The following is a 24045-nucleotide window of genomic DNA, read 5'->3' on the forward strand; positions in this document are numbered from 1 at the left end:
AGGAGCAAATTAAAAGATGTTCAAAAAGGAATCCCATGAATGTAAGTTGAACAGGCACAGAGGGAATTACATAATGGTCCACAAAACCTAAGAAGGCATGACTCTAAACGGAGACTCACTGAAGCCATTTATATTTAATACCAGGGACAAAACAGAAACGTCTGCTACTAACATTATTACCTATAGTTTATAGAAGTTCTACCACATTGCAATGAGAAAACTCAGTAACTGGCCAGGCACAGTGGCTCACACCTGTAATCCCAGCACTTTGGGAGGCCGAGGAGGGCAGATCACTTGAGGTCAGGAGTTTGAGACCAGCCTGGCCAACATGGTGTAACTCTGTCTCTACTAAAAATAAAAAATTAGCCGGGTGTGGTGGCACACGCCTCTAGTTCCAGCTACTCAGGAGGCTGAGGCAGGAGAATCACCTGAACCCAGGAGGTTGGAGGTTGCAGTGAGCCAAGATCACGTCACTGCACTCCAGTCTGGGCAACAGACCGAGATGCTGTCTCAAAAAAAATAAAGGTAGTAACAAACAAATAAACGAAAAAAGTCTATTATTTGCTGATGGTTGCACACCTTGAAAGTTATGTAGATATCAAATAAATATACAAAAATGAATTGCATTTTTCCATATAGCCATGTGTTGCTTAATGATGGGGATACATTCCGATGAATGTTTCGTTAGGTGTTTCATTGTTGTGCAATCATGGTAAGAGCGTACTTACACAAACTTAGATGGTGTAGTCAACTACATATCAAGGCTATGTATATTGCTCCTAAGCTACAAACCTGTATAGCATGTTACTGTGCTGAATACTGTAAGCAACTGTAACACAATATGAAGTATACGTGTATTTAAACACAGAAAAGGTACAGTAAAAATACATTATTACAGGCTGGGCAAGGTGGCTCATGCCTGTAATTTCAGCACTTTGGGATGCCAAGGTGGGAGGGTAACTTGAGGCCTGGTGTTTAAGACCAGCCTAGGCAACATAGCGAGACCCTGTCTCTACCAAAAAAAAAAAGGGCTAAGCATAGTTGTGCCTGTCTGTAGTCCTAGCTACTTGCGGGGGCTGGGGTGGGAAGATCGCTTAAGCCCAAGAGGTTGAGGCTACAGTGAGCCATGACCATGCCACTGCATTCCAGCCTGAGGCAGCCATGAGGTGTTTCCTGTCCTGTATCCTTCTATACAGCTAAGTCAACCTGCTGCCAAGTTATGGCCTATTGGGTATTAGGAATAGGAATTTTAAACCAAACCTAAGACCACAACTGCTGATCACCCAGAGTCAGCATTACACTACTTCACCTATTTTTGCAGAAATTATCTAATACATTTTTACTGTAATAGAAAGCTAATAACGTGATCCAACCAAAAGAAACAATAGAGTTAAAAATCATCTCACTTGGCTTAAACTGGAAGGCTGAACATCAACAAATCTTGGGGAAAGAAGGCCAGCTACAAGACATCGATTATAACCATCAGGAATGAGTTCATTGAGTGATGGACCTGATTTCTTTAAAAAAGTCAAAGTCTGTAACAGATAAATTAGTAAGGCATCAATCAATGCTCAATTTGAATAATCAAATTTAAGATTAATTAATTACACTTAAAATTTAAGTAAAATTTAAAGATAGCAAGTGGAAATTATGAAAGACTATATTTCCTGCAAGAAACAGAGTTTATAGGTTCTTAAGCTTAACCAATGCTTGCTAGTTGTGAATACTACTATTAGCAAAAGGTAGCTTATATATTTTTATGAACTGTATAACCCTGCTGTCTTCTCTAAAGCTGACAGATTTGGTGACATCTTGACAAAACACACACACACACACACACACACACACACACACACACACACAGGAAAACTCCTGCAGTCTACTCCTCTTTATCTAATGTGAAAGAGATTTGATATTAAGTATAAATACAGCATTCATCCACATCTGGACGATTATCAATGAAAAGGTCTGCCACATCATACTTCCCTAGAAAAGCATTTTTCAGGCCAGGCACGGTGGCTCACGCTCATAATCCCAACACTTCGGGAGGCCGAGGCAGGCGGATCATCTGAGGTCAGGAGTTCGAGACCAGCCTGGCCAACATGGTGAAACCCCATCTCTACTAAAAATACAAAATATTAGCCGGGCGTGGTGGTGAGCACCTGTAATCCTAGCTATTCAGGTGGCGGAGGCAGAAGAATCACTTGAACCTGGGTGGCAGAGGTTGCAATGAGCCGAGATGGTGTCACTGCACCCCAGCCTGCGCAACAAGAGCGAAACTCCGTCTCAAAAAGAGAAAAGTATTTTTCAAAATTCTTTTTTTTTTTCCTGTGCCAGGCACTATACCACTGTGCTAGGTGCCTTCTTTGCATTACTTCATTTCCTCATAAGCTTTCTGAGGAGACAGAAAGCTTGAGGTTCACGTAGCTAGCATCTACATAAATTAGTTGCTAAAAACATACAATACGTCTTCCGGCAGGCTGTCATTAGTAACTGATACTACTAGTTGATAATCTCATAAACCTAGCAGAAGCTACCATTTAAGCTGAAACAACTGTCAATATCACTAAGTAAAACTTAAATCCATAAATCAACTATATTCTAAGATCTGACTTCAGTTCAATTAAGAAATCACTAGTTGTTACCTACCTCCTTCTGAAAGCCAGTACAAGTTAAATGAACAACTCCCGAGTTTAACAAACAAGTGGCATCTAAAAAAAAGATTTAAAAAATAATCCACTTACATATATTTAAAATGGCATTAATAGAACAAAATTTATCCAATAACAGACTGCAAGGCAAGGTGTCAAATTATTACATGTAATAAATCTTTAAATAAACTTTTCTAGGTATTTTCATCCTAAGAATAGATAACAAACCTATTACACAGCAAAACAAGAAAAAAGCAAAAAACAAAACCCAAAAAACTCCAAGCACAGCTGAGAAACACAGCAAAAAAAATAAAAGCTACTATAAAATGCACCAGATGTGAAACAGTTAATATCTTTCCTAGCAAGTTCAAAATAAGTCATAATTCCTTTATAAAACATATAAATACTAAATATCTCCAAGTCATAATTCCTTTATAAAACATATAAATACTAAGTTTCTTGTGTGTATATATTAATTTCCTAAGTTATCCATATGTTAACTAACAGTGAGATACAAACAGATAACACTAAATGAATAAACTACACAACGTATACATTTACATACTTTTGTGCATTACTTTTCTTAAGAGGTAATGTTAAGGAAATACATACCAAAATTATAAGTGCTTGGATTAAAAAACTGCTCGGGAGGTGGATATGAAGGAGGGACTCCTCTATTTAAACTTCTCTCATGTACTAATATATCCAAGATGCCATGTGGAGAAGTCCTACTTACAACAGACTCCAATGACCACAGTGCAAAATAAGAGCAATTATGTAGATATTCTCCTGACCTAAAAGAAAATTTAAAACATTACTAAGTCATTGGTCAGCTACACATACAAATACAAAGAGAAAGGAGAGAGAAAAAAAAAGAATCATACCTTAACGAATCTGGCATTTGTGCATGATACCAACGATTTATATCAAAAAGCCCCAAATATACAGAAGGCTTTCCCTGTCCATATATATTCACCTGCCAGGTAAAGACTGAAACACTAGTGTCAGGCGATAGAGCTGGAAGAAAAAGATAATTTTTAAAAACAGAATAAAGAATCTCAAAGTAAAATCACCTCAACAGAATTATAGCAAGATTTTCTCATAAATTAAGCGGTTTAATTCATATTTCACTTGATTCATCAAAACGCATTTCTATCATTTGTATGTAAGACCAGATTCATTCACTTGCATTTTGACTGTTTCTCAATTTTAAGGCCTTATTAAAAAGTAGTCACTCATCAGAAGTTATATCCTTGCTTGTTTTCAGTTAATACTTGAGCAACGTTGAGGTATTAGAGGCAGAAAGTACAAAATGATTTGAATGAACAGTCTCTCTCGCAAGGACGGTACGGAGCTAGTACTAGAGAAGTTAATTCACTACCTAAAACGGATGCTTTTGGGCATTAAGGCTTTATTATGATGAACCTTAGCTGAGAAGGACTTATCCAGTTATAAGGTAAAGAGAGAAAAAGAAAAGTGCTTGGATGGTGCCTGTGGAATGGAAAGACAGGAATAGAGTAAGAGACATCAACAGGAGAAGAAGAAAGTAAAAATCTGAAACACTACTATAAGGAAATAGGAAGAATGGGGAATAAGAGAGAGCATGGCCAGGTGCAGTGGCTCACACTTGTAATCCCAGCACTTTGGAAGGCCAGGTGGGCAGATCAATTGAGCCCAGAAATTCGAGACCAGCCCAGGCAACACAGCAAAAACCTCATCTCTACAAAAAAATACAAAAATTAGCCGGGCATTGTGGCATGCACCTGTAGTCCCAGCTACTCAGGAGGCTGAGGTGGGAGGATCGCTTGAACCTGGGAAGCAGAGGTTGCAGTGAGACGAGATCGTGCAAGTGCACTCCAGCCTGGGCGACAGTGAGACCCTGTCTCTAAAAAAACAAAAACAGGCCAGGTGCGGTGGCTCACGCCTGTAATCCCAGCACTTGGGGAGGCCGAGGCGGGTGGATCATGAGGTCAGGAGATGGCTAACACGGTGAAACCCTGTCTCTACTAAATATACAAAAAATTAGCTGGGCATGGTGGCGGGTGCTTGTAGCCCCAGCTACTTAGGGGGCTGAAGCAGGAGAATGGCATGAACCCCGGAGGCGGAGCTTGCAGTGAGCTGAGATCGTGCAACTGCACTGGACAGAGCGAGACTCCATCTCAAAAAAACAAAACAAAAAAAAACAAAACACCCTGTCACTACAAAAAATACAAAAATTAGCCAGGTGTGGTGGTGTGTGCCGGCAGTCCCAGTTACTTGGGAGACCGAGATGGGAGAATTGGTTGAGCCCAGAAGGTCAAGGCTGCAACCAGCCAAGATCATGCCACCACACTCTGGCCTGGACTGGCCTGGGCATCAGAGTGAGACCCCTGTCTCTAAATAAATAAACAAATAAAAACTTTAAAAAGACGTGAGCTCATGACAACATGTGCTTTTCACATATTTAACTGGATCTGAAACCTGGATCAGAAATACAGATACAGGCCCTAGCAAAAAGGGCATTTCTGGGATGGGTAAGTTCGCTGTGTGATTTAATCCTCACAACTACCCTTTGCAAAAGGTCTAACTAGGATCCCACTTACAGATGGAGAAACAGAGCTCTGAAATGTTAAGCAATTTGTCAAAGGTCATCACTAGTGATAGGGCTGGATTACGATAATCTTGGCTTAAAAAACCGATGCAAAAAAAACTGCCAGGAAAAAGCGATGACACTAAAGAAGACAGAGAAAACATTCAAGACAACCAAGGCATGTATGCCATACATGGCTCAAAAAATACACGGGTAAACTTCATTCAAAGACTACTCACACTAGTTCAGACTAGGGATCGCCTGTTTTGAGAACTAGATTAAAATAAAAGGGTCCTTCATTACCCTAATCTATTTTATTGTTTAGTTATACATAGCAATCTGGAGAGCAAGAAATATCTAGTATCTCATATAGAACTGAATAAATTCCGTTAATTACTATTCCAATTTTCTGAACTGCCAGGAGTATGAAATCTAGAAAATAACACCTGTCATAAATTTTAAATCCAGCCTTCACATGACATATTTCAAGTACTTTAACTAACCTTCATTCACGCCTTCCTCCCTGTCACCATGAGATCGAAATTTCTCTATACTCTGGCATCCCAACAATTTGGTATTACTCGTCTGTCCCCTCAAAGGGAACATGCCACCTGTCAGGTCCAGGGTGTATCTTTCTTCACAGTATTCTAACCCCTGTAACATAAAATACACGCAAATATTAATCTGATTCTAGGCAAAAAGTCACTCTAAAATTAAATATTCTCCAAATTTAAAGATTGTTCACACAATACAAAGAAAACAATTTAGACTGAAGAGAACCAATCATGGAAAAAGGCTCTAAAATTTTACATACTTTAAAACAAATAAAAAGTGAGATTTAGTCTCTCAAAAATAATTACCAACAAGTCTTCTAAAGTTATTTAACACAGAAGCCCTCATGCACTACTGGTTGGTATGTAAACTGGAATAACCATCAAAATTATATATGCATATATCTCAGACCAGCAATACTATACCTGTGTTCTCACAGAAATTCTTGCTCTAGAATAGTTCTTAGACTTTTAGCTTATTGATACCTTTAAGAATCTGACAAAAGGCTATGAGACTTCGCCCATAAAAATGCAACACATAATTCAGGGCCTTTACTGATTCCCTGAAACCCGTTTCTATACGCCTCCAACATTAGGTTCAGAAAAGTCGGTTCTAGAGACAGGTATGTGAGGGTGAACAAAATACAGCTATTAGCAGCACCCCTCCGATCTCCTCAGGAATTCAGCCAGATAAATAGGCAGCCATCTAAAAGCCCAGACGCGTATGTCCTCTTATAAAAATCACCCTATGGCTTAATGCTTGATATGTTAGAGCAACAAAGTGGAATTATTTTTCCTGGGTACCAATTAAGCCACAAGCTTGAATCTAGTCCAGTCCCCTCATTGTAGAGGAAAACGGTATCTGAGAAGTTAAGAATGCTACCTGGGTAAATAGGTAAAACAGATCTCTAATTTAAATTACTTCTACTACATTATGAATACAATATTAACTTCAATATAAGAATCGCTTTTCACAGCCAGGTGCGGTGGCTCACACCTGTAATCCCAGCACTTTGGGAGTTCGAGGTGGGTGGATCACGAGGTCAGGAGTTCAAGACCAGCCTGGCCAAGATGGTGAGACCCCCCCCCCTCCGTCTCTGCTAAATATACAAAAAAATTAGCCAGGCGTGGTGGCGGGCACCTGTAATCCCAGCTACTCCAGAGGCTGAGGCAGAGAATTGCTTGAATCCGGGTGGCGGAGGTTGCAGTGAGCCAAGATTGCACCACTGCACTCCAGCCTGGGCGACAGAGCGAGACTCTGTCTCAAAAAAAAAAAAAAAAAGAATCACTTTTCAATATCTTAAAACAAAGACAACATATTTAAAATAGAAAACAACAAAATGGTAATATAAACCCATAGTCCAATGACCATTTACCTCATATAAGATTTGTCCTGATGCCAAACACTTTCTATTACCAAAGGCCAGCTGCAGCAGATGCAAACTCAAAACATCCCCTTCACTGAAACAGAAATTAACGAAGACACGCTAAATATATTAATACATTAAACATCTCTTACTGTCCAAGTAAGTTTAGTTTGCTTGCAATGTTGAGTGCATGTGACAAAACTAAAATCACTGTGAAAAATTTAGTTTTCGGTAATTTTTATAAAAATGTAGTCCTTTGAAATAATAATTGATATTTATTATTGATTCTAATCAACTAAATCGATGCTGTTTGCATACTGTAGGAGATATCTTATGTAGCAAAGACTGATTACTCAATATTCTTTCTCAAATATTCCTTCCTCAATGGTTATACTCTACTTAAACACATGGTTGCCTAAAGTTCTATAACATCTCCCAGCTTCCTTTGCAGCTAAGTGCAGTACCCTGTGGTAAAGTTGTGGCCAGGATGTAAACAGAATTATCCCATAGTAACCTCACAGAACCTTCCTTAATAAACAAAATATCCTTTATGCCTTCATCCTGGTCTCTTCCTCCATCTTGCTATTTTTACTTAAAATGTAGAGGTTCAAAGGACAATGGGGAGTATGGGAAGGAGAACGGGCAGTTGGGGGAAGGGTGGGGAAAAAATTTTTTTAAAATATGGATGTTGCCCTCGACCATGAGAGGCCTATCAAGACACAAAGTGAAGATACTAAATCAACCCTGTAGTGAACTCAAGCACGAAGCATGCAGTAAGTGTTAAGAGCATAGATTCCAGAGCCACATCATCTGAATCTGAATTTTACTACTAGTTGATCCCTTTTAATAATTCCTATTACTAGTTCTTATTTCTTTTACTTGGCTTCTAACACACCACACCTTCCTAATATTCCTCATACCACACTATTCACTCCTTAGTCCTTTGCTGAGTACCCACCCAGCTCTCTTGTTCTCAATCTCCAAGTATATTTGAAGAATAAGAGAGCAGGGTACTGAGATTGAGAACAAGAGAGCAGGGTACTTAGAAGGTTCCAAGGCTCTCAATCTGTGAAAAACATTCAAGTAAGTCCGCACAATTTCTTCTGATAACTCAGAATTATTCAAGCATGTAGAAACAACCATTTAACTTTTAAAATAATTTCAACTACTACTCACTAATTCACTGAAAGAATTGTGTTGCCTTCACTAAAAAAGACTACATAACTACATAGACTACCTGTTCTATTTTTGACTAATTTTTAAAGATTGTATGTATCAGGCCAGTCGTGGTGACTCACACCTGTAATCCCAGCACTTTGGGAGGCTGAGGCGGGCAGATCATGAGGTCAGGAGTTCAAGACCAGCCTGGCCAACATGGTGAAACCCCGTCTCTACTGAAAATATAAAAATTAGCCAGGCATGGTGACAGGCACCTGTAGTCCCAGCTACTCGGGAGGCTGAGCGAGAGAATGGCATGAATCCGGGAGGCGGAGGTTGCAGTGAGCCGAAATCACGCCACTGCACTCCAGCCTGGACAACAGAGCGAGACTCTGTCTCCAAAAAAACAAAACAAAACAAAACAAAGTTTGTATGAGACCTACCTATCTTGTGTAGACTGAACAGCCCACAAGTAACAGCAATTCCGAGGATCATTCTCAGGTTCTTGAAAAGTGACAGCATATACAGGAACTTGTCCACTTTCCAATTGTATGTAATATCTGAAACAAATTAGTATATTTCATATTTTTAAGTTATTTTTTAGAAAGGAAAAAGGTACATCATGTAAGAACTTGGGTTAGGCAACCACTGTTCCTACACTTCCCCAGAATAAGTGATCTGTGGGCCATGGCCAAGTCATCTTATCTGCAAAAATACACACGGCACAAGACATCAAGACTATGGTCATGGCACCCATCCCCCAGAGACAGAACTGGGAAGACTCAGATGCAGTCAAGCGGATGCATTTATGTGTGCGTGTAACTGGTCCTAAGAGTCATATTCAATGCCCAAGAGGTAGAACTGGGGAGTGTTAGAATTACTCAAGTGGATGCATTCATGTCTGTGTAAACTGGTCCTAAGAGTCATATTTGATGTACACTCCTACATACTGCTCAACCATAAAAGATGCCCTACAAAGAGACGAGATACTGCCACGAGACTTTTCAGCTGTTTGGGTTTAGCATCAGTTTCCCCACTACTACAACAGAAGATGAGTTAGAAACTGAAGAGTTCCCATAAACTGCTAAAAAAGCAAAAATTGACCAAGAGATGATAGTGTTAGAGAAAGCACTGCTGTAGAAGCCAGGTACTGCAGGTATTTCTTTAGGAGCAAATTCAAAGACGAGCTGACAAACTGGCAGCCGGGCGTGGTAGCTCACACCTGTAATCCCAGCACTTTGGGAGACTGAGGCAGGTGGATCACAAGGTCAGGAGTTCGAGACCAGTCTGACCAACAAGGTGAAAATCCGTCTCTAAAAAAAAAAAATACAAAAACTAGCTGGGTTCAGTGGTGCACACATGTAATCCCAGCTACTTGGGAGGCTGAGGCAGGAGAATCACTTGAACTTGGGAAGTGGAGGTTGCAGTGAGCCAAGATCGTGCCACTGCACTCCAGCCTGGGCAACAGAGTGAGACCCCACCCCCCAAAAAAATAGAAAAAAAAGAGCTGATAAAAGGATAACAGCAAAGAGAGTTGAGATACACTTCCTATAAGATAAATTACTCAATAAAATATACCAGTATGCCTCAGGAAAAATGGAGAAACAAATAAATTGACAACTTAAGGGCCAAATAGGCATCTATTTAACGCTTAACACAAATTAACTTAGCTACAAAGTATCAATATAATTATATTTTGGGGACTTTTTGACAGCAGAAAAAATTTAAAACACAAGTATTTTGTAACTTTGATTTTTAAAAATCCTTTTTTTTCCCTCTCAACTGAGAATTCTTTATTAAGCTGTTACTTTACACAGATGATGATTAGGAAGGTACTTCTGAAAGAACTCATATTATACAAACACAGCCATGTGTCACTTAACAAAAGGGGATCTGTTCTGAGAAATGCTCGTCAGGGATTCAGTCATTGTGCAAACATCATACAGTCTAGTAACACAAACCTAGATGAGATAGCCTACTATATACCTAGGCTAGATGGTATAGCCTGTTGCTCTTAGTCTACTAACCTGTACAGCATGTTACTGTATGGAATACTGCAGGCAACTATAACACAATGGTATCTTAAACATTAAAAAGGTACAATCAAAATACAGTAAAATTTTATGAGACCCCTTTCTTACATAAGGACTGTTGTTGACCAAAACGTTGTAAAGTTACAAAGTCATGCTTTACTAGCATGTTAAACACATGACTGTAATGCCTTTTAAATAAACACTGAAAAAAAATAAAGCTAAATTCATGTGCTAAGTCACTCCTTTATGGTATTCACATTGATTTAATGCCATGAAAAATTAGTCATCTCAATCATTCATTCAATCATTAATCTACCCACCCTTTTCTCACTATGCTAACTTTCAAATATTAGTAAATGAGTACAAGCTATATGCAAAAAAACTACCTATAATCAAATAAGGGAAAAAAGTTATACTTACTCTCTTTTCATGCTTTTCATGTTCCAAAGTGCTAGATAGCCATCAGAAAAACCTACAGCAAGCTGATTTGTCCTGCTTATGTAACTAAGAGTTGAAACAGCTGTTCCTGTTGGACTTACTAACTGGAAACACAGATGGCGCCCTTGTCTCATTACACTTTCTCTAATGTGTGGTACTTCAGCTGGGATACCAGTTAGAACTTCAAGATCTAAAACCACAAATTAGACAAATGAAGTTAAAAAACTAGAAACAGCATTAAAAGCAAATATGTCATCCATTATTCAAGCTGCAAATGAAGTCAACTGAGTTAAATGAAGTTAATTGAAATTAAAAGATTAGTGATAACAAAAAAGTATGTTAAACTAGAAAATTGCCATCCTTATCTATTTAAATGCCACAATTTAAAAAACACATTCAATTATATAATATTTAAAAATTCTCTCAGTACATCTCAAATATTATCTAAGATAGAATTTTTTTAGGGTTAACAACCATAAATAAAACTGATTTATTTCTTTATTGAAATTTAGAACTACTACCTAAATACCTTCCTTGGAGCAATGGCTGATTCCGGGTCAGGGGGAAGAAAATACATAAAATGAGCCTGGTACATCTTATGCCAATAATCTAGGAAGCTATCACAGATGAAAGGGAATGTATCAGACAACATGAAGGGGCTCTCATTACCAATGACAGGACATTTTGGGCATCAAAAACAATAAAATTAATGAAACACATTAAATATGCCAAACCTGAAAAATTCACAGGGATACAAAAAAAAAAAAAAAAGAGGGGTGGGGCAAGGGGGAAGCCTACCCTCCCCACCTACAAAAGACCTTATATTGAACAATTGGAGTAACTAGGTATCACCTGCTTACTCTGAAAATTAGTACTTAAGAAACACTAAACATTTATCCTGCCTGTTCTGTAGACATTGTGTTTCAGAGTGACCAGAAAGCCCTAATTAATGAGAAAATTATTCTTTACATTGACAGAACATAAAAATCATCATTTTGCAGCCCTTAATGAAATAAGGGACTTATCCAAGAATCTTAGGCCGGGCACGGTGGCTCACGCCTGTAATCTCAGCACTTTGGAAGGCCAAGGTGGGCGGATCACAAGGTCAGGAGATTGAGACCATCCTGGCTAACACGGTGAAACCCAGTCTCTACTAAAAAAAAAAAAAAAAAAAAAATTAGCCGGGCATGGCGGCGTGCGCCTGTAGTCCCAGCTGCTGGGGAGGCTGAGGCAGGAGGAGAATGGTGTGAATCCGGGAGGCAGAGCTTGCCGTGAGCCAAGATTGAGCCACTGCACCCCAGCCTGGGTGACAGAGCAAGACTCCGTCTCAAAAGAAAAAAAAAAAAAAGAATCTTAATGAATGAAACAATTAGCTCAAAGTAAGGTTTTATAATTTTGGCATTACAGTATTCCCTCTCATTATTTACAGTTTCACTCTCCAATTTCCGTTACCTGTAGTAAACCAAAGTCCAAAAATATTAAACAGATAATTCTATATCTATATATATCTATATCTATCTATCTATCTATCTATCTATCTATTTATATATATATAAAATTCAGCCAGGTGAGGTGGCTCATGCCTGTAATCCCAGCACTTTGGGAGGCTGAGGCAGGCAGATCATGAAGTCAGGAGTTCAAGACCAGCCTGACCAATATGGTGAAACCTCGGCTCTACTAAAAAAAAAAAAAAAAAAAATTGGCCGCACATGGTGGTGTGCAACTGTAGTCCCAGCTACTTGGGAGGCTGAGGCAGAAGAATCACCTGAACCCAGGAGGCAGAGGTTGCAGTGAGCCGAGATTGCGCCACTGCACTCCAGCCTCTCAAAAAAAAAAAAAAAAAAAAAAAAAAAAATTTGCATGCTGCTCTGAGTGGTATGATGAAATCTGCTACCATCAAAGGGACATAAATCATACCTTTGTCCAGTGTATCCACACTGTATAAGCCACCCTTAGTAGCCATCTTGGTTCTCAGATCAACTGTCGCAGTATTGCAGTGCTTGTGTTCAAGTAACCCTTATTTGACTTAACAGCCTCAAAGCACAAGAGTGGTCATGCTGGCAATTCAGATATGCCAAAGAGAAGCTGTAAAGTGCTTCCTTTAAATGAAGAGGTCAAAGTTCTTGATTTAATAAGGAAAAATCATAATGTGTGCAGGGTTCAGTACTAGCTGTGGTTTCGGCATCCACTGGGGTTCTTGGAATGTATCCCTCGCAGATAAGGGGGAACTACCCTGCAGAGGGCTATCCTGTACACTGTAGGACGCTAAGCCACATCATTAGTCTCTAACTACTAGTAGCAAGTAGCACCAGCAGTAACAATCAAAAATGTCTTCTAACATTGCCAAACATCTCCTGGAGGACAAAATTCACCCCCTGCTGAGAACCACTAGTTTAAAGTTGATGACAGACTTTAAAAAGGAAGGATCATGCTGTCACCATGTGAATCCACTGATCACTAATTGAAACTACTAGACACTATGTGTCTCCTGATGTGATACAATATGAAGTACTCAGCACTTCCAAACTACCTTGCCAAAATACTAAACCTTCATCTATAACCAGAGCTAATTTAATTTGCAGAAAATCGAAAATGATACCACATGAAAGCACAGTTAATTCCAAAATGTGGAACATTCTATCAGATAACTTCAGCAAGTCAATGGCACTAAAAATAAAAACAGAGAGGACAGAAAGAGGATTGCTGTACGTTCAAGGAGACTTGAGACTTAACTGTCAAATGCAATTAATGTGCAGACTGTATTTGAATTCCAATCCAAACAATCCAAATGTAAAAAGATGCTTTGGATAATCACATCAATTTGATTATAGTCTAGATAACACACTATACCAAAGAAGTGTTATTGGCATTATGATTATGTAATAAAATATCCCTATTTGCTTTAAACTAACACAGAAGAAAAGAGGGAAAGGAGGAAAGGGGAATGAACTAAACAGACACACATATAGCAAATGTTGAAAATTAACTTGAATTTGGGTGATGGGTTTATGGGAACTCTTGTATTCTTCTAACTATCTGAAGATGTCTGAAATCTTCAATAAAAAAATTTAAAAACTCAGACTCATATATTAATATAACCACTGTGCAAGAGCAGATTCTCTCATTGTTATAAAGGGGGAAAAATCATATCACACTGTCCTAGAACAGGGCCCCCACCCCCAAATCACTTCTGCTTCTGATGTCTTTTTCAGAGAAGAGATTAGATTTTGCCACAACAAACAGTTCACACAATGGGATACTACAAATTTACTCAAAAGAAATGGGTAAGCCCTATGTGTTCTGATGTGGAAAGATGTATAAGAAACCGGTTAAGTCTGGGGAAGCTGCAGAACAATATTTATGCTGTATGTTTGGAACTTCATTTCCTACCTTGGTGTATTTCAGTGAAGCCTAAACAGTTGTAATCATAAATTACTTTTGTAATCAATAAAATTTATTTTGCATTAAACCCTAAAGCTTAATTTTTTGTGCTATAAAGTCCAACTGCTTCCAATTCTCAAAATTGAGAAATGGTTCTGATCACAATCCAGAGACTTTCGTTATAAAATTATCCTTGTGCACCTACTGATTACTGACCTCTGAAATGAAGGATGTTTTAACGCCACCATATTGACTTGAAGGGAGTTTTAATTACGAATATAAGCATTTTAATTAGCCTTACACCTATAACCACAAAATACACTATGAAACAAAAGCCTATCAAGCCTACTTCTTTGATTAATGTTCCATAAAAAGCAGTCAAACTATTTCTGATAATCTATAAATTCATTTTTAGTTATTGCTTTTGCTCATCAATTCTTTTCATTTAAACTTCACATAAAAATTTTATTAATCAATCAGGTTTGTATACATACCAAATTTTAAGGTATAGTGTCTATCTATGAAGATTCTTTTTTTTTTTTTTTTTTTTTGAGATGGAGTTTCACTCTTGTTGCCCAGGCTGGAATGCAATGGCGCAATCTCGGCTCACTGCAGCCTCCACCTCCCAGGTTCAAGTGATTCTCCTGCCTCAGCCTCCTGAGTAGCTGGGATTAGAGGCATGCGCCACCACACCTGGCTAATTTTATATTTTTTAGTAGAGACGGGGTTTCTCCATGTTGGTCAGGCTGGTCTCAAACTCCCGACCTCAAGTGATCCACCCGCCTTGGCCTCCCAAAGTGCTGGGATTCCAGGCATGAGCCACGGCGCCCAGCTCTTCTATTAAGATATTTTAAAGTGCATGTATGACCATTATTTCTGCCAAATCAAATTTTTTCAGGTCTGATTTTGCATATTTAAGTTTTGTTCAGATGATTTTGGCTCTTCCATTTCTTGTTAAGTATAGTTTTTATCACTTGCAGTTTTTTTGTTTTTGTTTTCTTTGAGATGGATTCTTGCTCTGTCGCCCAGGCTGGAGTGCAGTGGCGTGATCTCGGTTCACTGCAGCCTCCCCTCCCGCTTCCACCACTGGCAGTTTTAATCGGTTTTTTTATACACTGACAATTTTTATTAGTTATGTTCATTATAAACTACATAAAATGTTGATAGTTTGTATCTATTTCTGAGCTGCTCCATAAATGAAAAGAGCTACACTGATATTCTAGGCTTGCTTTAAAAATCAAGAATGTGCCGGGTGTGGTGGCTCACACCTGTAATCCCAGCACTTGGGAGGCCAAGGCGGGCGGATCACAAGGTCAAGAGATCGAGACCATCCTGGCCAATATGGTGAAACCCCATCTCTACTAAAAAAAAAAAAATACAAAAATTAGCCAGGCATGGTGGCGTGTGCCTGTAATCTCAGCTACTCAGGAGGCTGAGGCAGGAGAATTGCTTGAACACGGGAGGCGGAGGTTGCAGTGAGCAGGGATTACGCCACTGCACTCCAGCCTGGCAACAGAGCGAGACGCCGTCTCCAAAAAAAAAAAACAAAACCAAGAACGTCCTCACAAAGCCAAAGTCAAAATTTTTTCGGGTCAAATACTCCTTTTCTAAAAATTAAGAGTAAAAAACACATTTTAAGGTTAGCTCTTCCTTTCTTCATAAACCAGAGACTCACAATTTTCAAAAACTGAAAGCACTTGGAAAAAAGTAATTTTATAAATACAAGCATTTAAAGGAGAAAAAGTATTTCATTTTCTTTGAATCTGAATAGAATTACTTCTATTTTAGGATGTTATTTTGTGAGAAAGACTTTTAGTTACTGTTATTTCCTAATATTTTATTTCTATCTTGGTGTTACCACACAAACATAAACAATATGCCAAGAACACTATGTTAGATCCTACATTGCTGGGTAATTTCATATTGGCTGATAAGGCTCAAGATTTCTTATATTTAGCCCTTATTCCAGCATTTACTTAAGAATAGATCTTATTCAGGTATGTAAATGAAAACAAATAAAATCAATTATCACTACCTTTCTCAAGGCCTACTTGAGAACATATGAACACCTGATCAACAAAACAGTATCTTATGCAAGAAGTATCCACTGTGCTCAGGTCCAGACAATAAAAAAGATTTTAAAATACCTTTTTTTTTTTTATAGATAGGAAGATATCTTTTATTTTACTCCAGCTGCTATAAAAAAATTTGGCTACTTTAAAAAATATTGCATCAGAATATCCAGGTGCTCCATTTTTGGTTTCAAGTAAAGAACTGATTACCTGATGCTTCAACTTCATTTTGATTGCATGACAAGTCATCCAAACATAGGTCAACAAGAAGGATCTGTCCAACATCAGTGACCACAGCTGCCACTCCAAAAAGCCATCGCAGACTTGGATGTAAATGCTGAGTGCTTGCACTGGCTCCTCCATGATTAATTATAGGTTCAATAGCTGTTACCTAGAAAACATAATACGTGATTTGCTTTTCTTCTGCAAAGTAAGAAAATATAATTAACACAATAAATTTAAGTTAAAGCAGGTTATCAGTTATAATAGATTTAAGACTATAGAGTAAATTTGCATTTGATACTTGTGATCTGAATAATGAAATCTTCAGCTATACTAGGAATTACACCATTACTCAATACATAGAAAAATCACGCAGTTGGACTAACAATTGATGTTGACTGAGAGCTTACTGATACGCCAGGCATTGTGTTACCTGGCTCATTCAATGTTCATGACAATGCTTTGATAGTAGACTATGTGTGAGTACTTCTCTTTAAAGATGAAATAACCTGAGGCTTAGAAAGTCAGTCTAGTTATTCAAGCCATAAAATCATTACGCATAAAACGCAAACCTAAATTGTTCTCATTTTAAAGCTCTTAAACAGCTACTCTAGGATTCTATGGCCTCTTCTCCTAAGAGTAAAAACTAATCATTCCAGAAAAATTTACTGTTTACTCTTTAAAAAACAACAAAAAAGATATTTTAAGTCCTCTTTATACCTTAAAGACTGAAGAGGTCTAACCTTCTTTCTATTGGACTTCATATAAAGCTCTGGCAGTCACTGGATCACTGACACTTAACAAGAATTGCTATTATTTAAAGAAAAGTATACTTTAGCTATTTTATGGAGTCATATTTTTCCCCTTCATCTCATGAGTCAAATTTTAAATGTCTATAACTAGTCATCCATATTTTATACTTGTCTTTCCTTCAGTTTCCTATTAATTCATAAAAATTAATTAGGTATGATATATGATAAAATGTTTGGTGATTTCTACGCTAATACAGGTTGAACATCCAAATCCAAAAGTCCAAAATCTAAAACACTTCTAGTCCCAGGCATTTTGGACAGGGGATTCTCAACCTGTACTGATGAATGTTCTGGCAAGAAAAGAAAATATCTGATATCAATGATTCATGTGTTAAAAAGACTAAAAGTTGTTTCAGGCTGTAACTTACTACAGACAAAAGCCTGGCTCTTTCTCTATATCAGTATACAAAACATTACTCAGTGTTTCTAATTCTGAAAGCTGTAACTTCATCACTTTTTCTTTTCTAATTACTGTAATAATGTCTATAAATACTAAAGCATATTCAATTCCTCAGTGAGGAGTAGCGAATCTAAGTTTACATTCCTCATAAAAATACTATATGAAGTGATTAATACTATTACCTTAATTTTAGAAGACAAAAATAAACATAATGAGTGTATACTGCACCCTACCCAAAAAACAGCTAGTAGGTTGAACTTTTGAAAGTGTCTATCGCTACTCCCCCATCTTTTCCTTATTCTATATTCTCTCTTCCATACACCAACCATGCATTCAACTGAGCAACCAGTTCAGGAACCTTGTTTCTTCTCAATTCCTCATCCAAATGATCAATGAGTGTCCATGTTTCCTTCTGTATGTGTTCTGAATCTGCCCCATCTTCTCCATTTCTACTGTCATTTCCTTGGTTCAGCTCCTCATCATTATTTACCTGAATGGCAATAGTCTACTTGTTTCTATTCTCACAATATCCTCGCTGACCCAATCCAAGCAAGCCTTTTACATGAGAGTTCTACTTAAAATTACTTCACCACTGGCCGGGCGTGGTGGCTCATGCCTGTAATCCCAGCACTTTGGGAGGCTAAGGCAGGTGGATCACGAGGTCAAGAGATCGAGAGCAGCCTGGCCAACAGGGTGAAACCCCATCTCTACTAAAAATACAAAAATTAGCTGGGCGTGGTGGTGCACGCCTGTAGTCCCAGCTACTCAGGAGGCTAAGGCAGGAGAATCGGTTGAACCCGGGACACAGAGGTTGCAGTGAGCTGAGATCGTGCCACTGCACTCCAGCCTGCTGACAGAGCGACTCTGTCTCAAAAACAAAAAAAAAAATTACTTCACCGTTGATTTCAAAGGAGCCCCTCATTACAAATAAGGCCATTCACAATCTAAAACCTAACGTTTCTGGCCCCCTATTCTTCCTTCCCCTCATCCCTCCCTCAGCCATTCTAAATCAAGTCTAGTTTCCCAAATGCTCCCTGTACTACTATTTTTCCATGCTAGTCTCTTTATCTAAAATGTCCAACTCTTTTGACTAGAAATTACCCATTCTACATGTTCCAAGTGCTTAAATTTATTAAAGTATTCACTATATTTATGCTAGTCTTATTCATTTGTCTTCTCCCACTAGACTATAAGCTCTCTAAAAGCACAGACCAAGTTCAATTTATTCATCCTGGGAATCTAACATATATTTTCCATAATGCTCCAATCCAAGACTATTGTCGCAAATTTAAAAGGTAAAAACATTTTAAAAATTGAATAGTAATGAATACATTTTTATAAACTTCGAGTGTCCTCATAGAACACAACTGGAGATAAGAACAAGATTTAGATGATACTTTTCACAAAAAAAGAGTATCAGAACATTACATGTCATTGCTATTTTTACTCTGGAACGTTTTAACCAATAAGAAAGTTACATTTTAAATGTTAAGTTCCTTGAATAACATATCATCTTTAACCTCATTTTTATTCTAAACACTTTACCTAAGAGTAACACATTTACATAAAAGTATACAAATTGTAAATGTTGCGGGTCAGTGAAATTTCAAAAAGTAACACACCTATATAACCAGCAGGGGTTCAGTTTTGAAAGAGAAATGTCCAGGTATCTTAAACAGTACCTACCCTTCCAGGAAGAACAACTGCTTTAACTACTTTTGATATTCCAAGGTCATAAAGACAGAGAACACTCCCTTCTGTTTCTTCCAATCCTATTAATAATCCAGTTCTCTTCTGCCAAGAGAATTCTTTCACAGCTAAAACTACAGGAGGCTGTTCATTGACTCCACTGAATCTGTAAGCAGACAATCGCTCTCCTGTTATAGAGTTTACTACCTCAAGTTGTGGACCACAAGCCAAGCAAGCAAGTCCATTTTTCCCTAGAAGAAAAAAAAATTGCCTATTTTAATATTGTATATACACAAAACATGCAATAACGGTTAGCTCATTTACATACAACTATATGTTCATTACATAAAACTTTACATATTATCTCCACATTGAAATCTTTTAATCAAGCAACTATCATTACAATAATAATAGTCATTCAGTGGCGTGAACCTGGGAGGTGGAGCTTGGAGTAAGCCGAGATCATGCCACTGCACTCCAGCCTGCGTGACAGAGCAAGACTTCATCTCAAATAATAATAATAATAGTCATTCAGTAAAAGCCACCACCATGGTATGTGCTTGAATGTTATCTCATTTATTCCTTATCACACCTCAATGTAGAGATAAGGCAGCTAAACCTGAATACTGTTTAACCTTCCCAAAGTCAAAAAGTAGCACAGGCAGAAGTAGATCCCAAGCCTGTTTAACTCCAAAACTCATGCTTTAACTACTAAGGCTTAAACGATTTAAACTAGAAGTTATGGCAGTTATAAAATAGAACATATTATTCTATCCCTAAAGAGTTCACAGTCCAATTAAGAAATTAAGACATAACTAGCATAATGATAGGAAGTCTCAGAACCTCTTCTCCGCCTATTAGTCATGTTTGGATTTTACCCTGCCTGCAATGTAAAGTCATAGAGGTGACTATCTGATTTAAATCAAGTCAGTAACTATCTGATTTATGCATGTTTTTAAATGTTACTCCAGCTGCTAAGCAAAGAATGGACAAGGAGAAGCACAGAGTAGCCGCACTGGGTGGAAGACGACACCTGCTAGGTGACCGAATAGAGAAAAGTGGGTTGACTGGAGATTCAACTTAGAGGGAGAACTAATTGGATTTCCTTGCTGATGAATGAGACACAGGGAGGTGAGTAAAACAAGAATCAAGTACAGACTCCGAATTTCTGCTTGAGCAACCAGATGAATGGTAACTTCTAAATTTGAGATGTCCATCAAGCATCCAAGTACATTAGTTGGATATGTAAGTTTATAGCTAAGGGAGGCCACAGTTTAAGAAAGTAGCATGGTACAGTGGGGTCTGAGAACGCCAAGGTTCCAAGATCCTTTCTGCCACTTACCTGTATAACTGGGATCAAATAAATGATTTCATTCTCAGTTACACAGAATAGTGGCTACTTAGAAAAAAGTTTTACACCACTCCAATGAAGTCATCGTACAATGCCTGGCATATAGAAAGTACTGTTGTTCCTTTTAACATTCAAGAGAATGGCGCTGTCAAGAGAGAAATGACTGATACATATGTTTTGCTCTCTGCCTGCTGGGAAGATGGCTACGAAGCTTATATTCAGAAAAGTCTTCTGCAATATCTTTCATTAGAACAAGATCCATAAGAGAAAGCCTTCTTTAGTATGGTTCTCTGATGTATTACACAATCTAAGTTACACATTAAGATCTTATTCAGGTAAATGAAATCAGAAAACGAGATTTTCTGAAAATTTTATAACATCTAGGGCCCTGGACTTTTCTACTCATGACACTGTTCAGGTTCTAATCCAAACTCATCACCAATAAAACTTCCTAATTATAAGGAAAAACTAGTTGCATGTTACTTCTACTTCCCAAACATAGATAATACTAAGATACAAAACACATGAGATTTTTAATAAGGAAAAATTAACTATAACCCCCCCAATCAGAGGTTCACTGATAACATGTTTAAGAGCTTATAGATGTTATATATGTAACTGTAGATGTTACATATTTAAGATCACTCAGGTTCTGCTTTTTCTTCTTCCACATAAAGAAACTATAATATATACTTATTATTATTTATCTTACAAATCAATTGTATTAGTAAATGTTCAGTGACATTATGTTTACCTGCAGCAAACTTTCCACGAAGCACAGATTCTAATGTTATTTCGTCTTCTCCAAGGGCTTGAAGAGTCACTTCTGGAAATGGCAGGAGACCACTAGTCACTTGAGCTCTTAAGTCTCGCATACTTCCACTGTAAATATTTTTAAAAGAAAACATTATTATGACACATTTGTAGACAATATACTTGATTATGTCCAGCCAGGAAAAACAGTAAAAGCCACCAACAAAATAAAGAAAAACTAAAATCTGGTTACAAAATACATATTGGCCAGATGCGGAGGCTCACGCCTTTAAGTCCCAGCTACTTGGGAGGCTGAGGCAGGCGGATGAACTGATCCCAGAAGTTCGAGGCTGCGCCTCCAGTGAGCTATGATTGTGCCACTTCACTCCAGCATGGGCGACAGAGCAAAATCCAGTCTTAAAAACAAATGACATGCATCTGGGACCAAGGTATTCTACTGTCTCCTAAGAAAGTATTTCCCAAACAGCTTTAGGAAAGTAAACATTCATTAAGCCAGACGTACTAAGGATATACATTATTCCCTAGATTCTTTAAACACTAGTTCAGTGCAATTCATCTCATTGTCTAACCTCCTTGCAAAGAACACCTCACCACCACCATCCTCCCTACAGAAAAAAGAAAAAGTGATTGGTGTCTTTTAGAAAAATCACTTCTTCAGTAAAGGGGGAGAAAGTCCAAGAAAAATGTATAAATTCACAGAAACCCCAGAAATCAAGTTTGGTACATATCTTTTGCAGGATAGAAATAATATAGGCATAAAGTTGTCTTTCATTTAGAAGATCAGATTCCCAGAATGACTACTCCCATTATAAACAACCAAAAATACTAGTTAAAATACAGAAAGATTTTAGCCATCTGAGTTGGTTAGCTATGAAATCCAGTCCTGGGAACCCTGATCTTATTCTGGGCACTCTAAGATCCAGGGGCAAAAGATTAAGCCTAGGACAAAGAGAACTAATAAGCTCATCCCTCAACCCCATTAAACTCCACTAGGCTACATCAGCCTAAAGGTGAGCAAGAACAATACCCATTGTACAGGATGGGTACAATAAAGCTGTCCACATTGACCATGGCTCTGAGTCTCTTACTCAGAAAGACAACATTTTCTTTCATACAAATGTGTGGCCAGAATTCAAGCTAGGTTATATGGAAATCCTCAAGAGGCCGGGCGTGGTGGCTCACGCCTGTAATCCCAGCACTTTGGGAGGCTGAGGCAGGCGGATCACAAGGTTAGGAGATCAACACCATCCTGGCTAATATGGTGAAAACCCGTCTCTACTAAAAATACAAAAAATTAGCCAGGCATGGTGGCACACACCTGTAGTCTCACCTACTCGGGAGGCTGAAGCAGGAGAATCACTTGAACCCAGGAGGTGGAGGTTGCAGTGAGCCTCACTGCACTCTAGCCTCGGTGACAGAGCAAGACTCCATCTCAAAAAAAAAAAAAATCCTCAAGAGAAGAATTTATTATCAAGTTATTTTCAGGTTCGTTGCTCCAAGCAATCCACGGAAACAACCACATATCCTCTGGAATCTCAAAGAATTCTTAAAGAATTCTCAAAGTTAAAGCAACAAAGAAAATAAACTCACAGAGCCAGGCAGGGTGGCTCATGCCTGTAACACCACTTTGGGAGGCCAAGGCAGGAGGATCATGAGCTCAAGAGATCGAGACCATCCTGGACAACATGGTGAAAACCTGTCTCTACTAAAAATACAAAAATAAATTAGCCGGGCGTGGAGGCATACGCTTGTAATTCCAGCTACTCAGGAGGCTGAGGCAGGAGAATTGCTTGAACCCAGGAGGCAGTTGCAGTGAGCCGAGATTGTGCAACTGCACTCCAGCCTGACGACACAGTGAGACTCTGTCCCCCGCAAAAAAAAAAAAAAAAAAAAAAAAAAGAAAAGAAGCTCACAGTCCAAATAACAAAACACACAAGGATATCCAATAGCCAGCAGAATCAGATGACTGAGGACTTCAGATATTGAAATTACCAGAGATTAGAAAGTAAATGTCTAATATATTTGTGTAAATCAGCGATTTAGCTTGATAAGAAACTGTAAATGTTAAAGGAAAAATCAAGTAGATTTGAAAAAATTTCTAAAAATGAAAAATTAAATAAAAACTAAAACTCAATGGGTATAAAAATTCAATGGAGCAATGAGAGTGAATCACAGCTACATGCAACAATATGAATGAATGTCAGAATATATTATTAAACCAGCCGGGCGTGGTGGCTCACGCCTGTAACCCCAGCACTTTGGGAGGCTGAGGCGGCGAATCATGAGGTCAGGAGATCGAGACCATCCTGGCTAACAAGGTGAAACCCTGTCTCTACTAAAAATACAAAAAATTAGCCGAGCGTGGTGGCGGGCGCCTGTAGTTCCAGCTACTCGGGAGGCTGAGGCAGGAGAATGGCATGAACCTGGGAGGCGGAGCTTGCAGTGAGCCGAGATCGCACCACTGCACTCCAGCCTGGGTGACAGAGCAAAACACTGTCTCAAAAAAAAAAAAAAAATTATTAAACAATAAAAGCATCCAGGCACGGTGCCTCACGCCTATAATCCCAGCACTGTGGG

General features: G+C 38.4%; 1 protein-coding gene across 9 annotated transcripts in view; it reads right to left on the reverse strand.

The window, feature by feature from the left end:
• AHCTF1 (AT-hook containing transcription factor 1) overlaps positions 1-24045 on the reverse strand; it is a 92851-nt gene that overhangs the window by 57704 nt on the left and 11102 nt on the right. For all 9 annotated transcript variants that reach the window (NR_136586.2, NM_001323343.2, NM_001323342.2 and 6 more), the window contains exons 2-12: positions 21449-21576; positions 19341-19594; positions 16431-16611; positions 10750-10957; positions 8740-8856; positions 7148-7232; positions 5724-5874; positions 3536-3668; positions 3264-3445; positions 2650-2711; positions 1407-1535 (exon numbers count right to left, since the gene is read on the reverse strand). Coding sequence is in view for 8 of the 9 variants with exons in the window: in NM_015446.5 (NP_056261.4) it covers positions 1407-1535; positions 2650-2711; positions 3264-3445; positions 3536-3668; positions 5724-5874; positions 7148-7232; positions 8740-8856; positions 10750-10957; positions 16431-16611; positions 19341-19594; positions 21449-21576 (1630 nt within the window). In the remaining variant the exon portion in view is untranslated. The remainder of the gene's footprint in view (positions 1-1406; positions 1536-2649; positions 2712-3263; positions 3446-3535; positions 3669-5723; positions 5875-7147; positions 7233-8739; positions 8857-10749; positions 10958-16430; positions 16612-19340; positions 19595-21448; positions 21577-24045) is intronic.

This window comes from Homo sapiens, chromosome 1, assembly GCF_000001405.40.
Source record: "Homo sapiens chromosome 1, GRCh38.p14 Primary Assembly".
NCBI classification, from domain to species: Eukaryota; Metazoa; Chordata; class Mammalia; order Primates; family Hominidae; genus Homo; species Homo sapiens.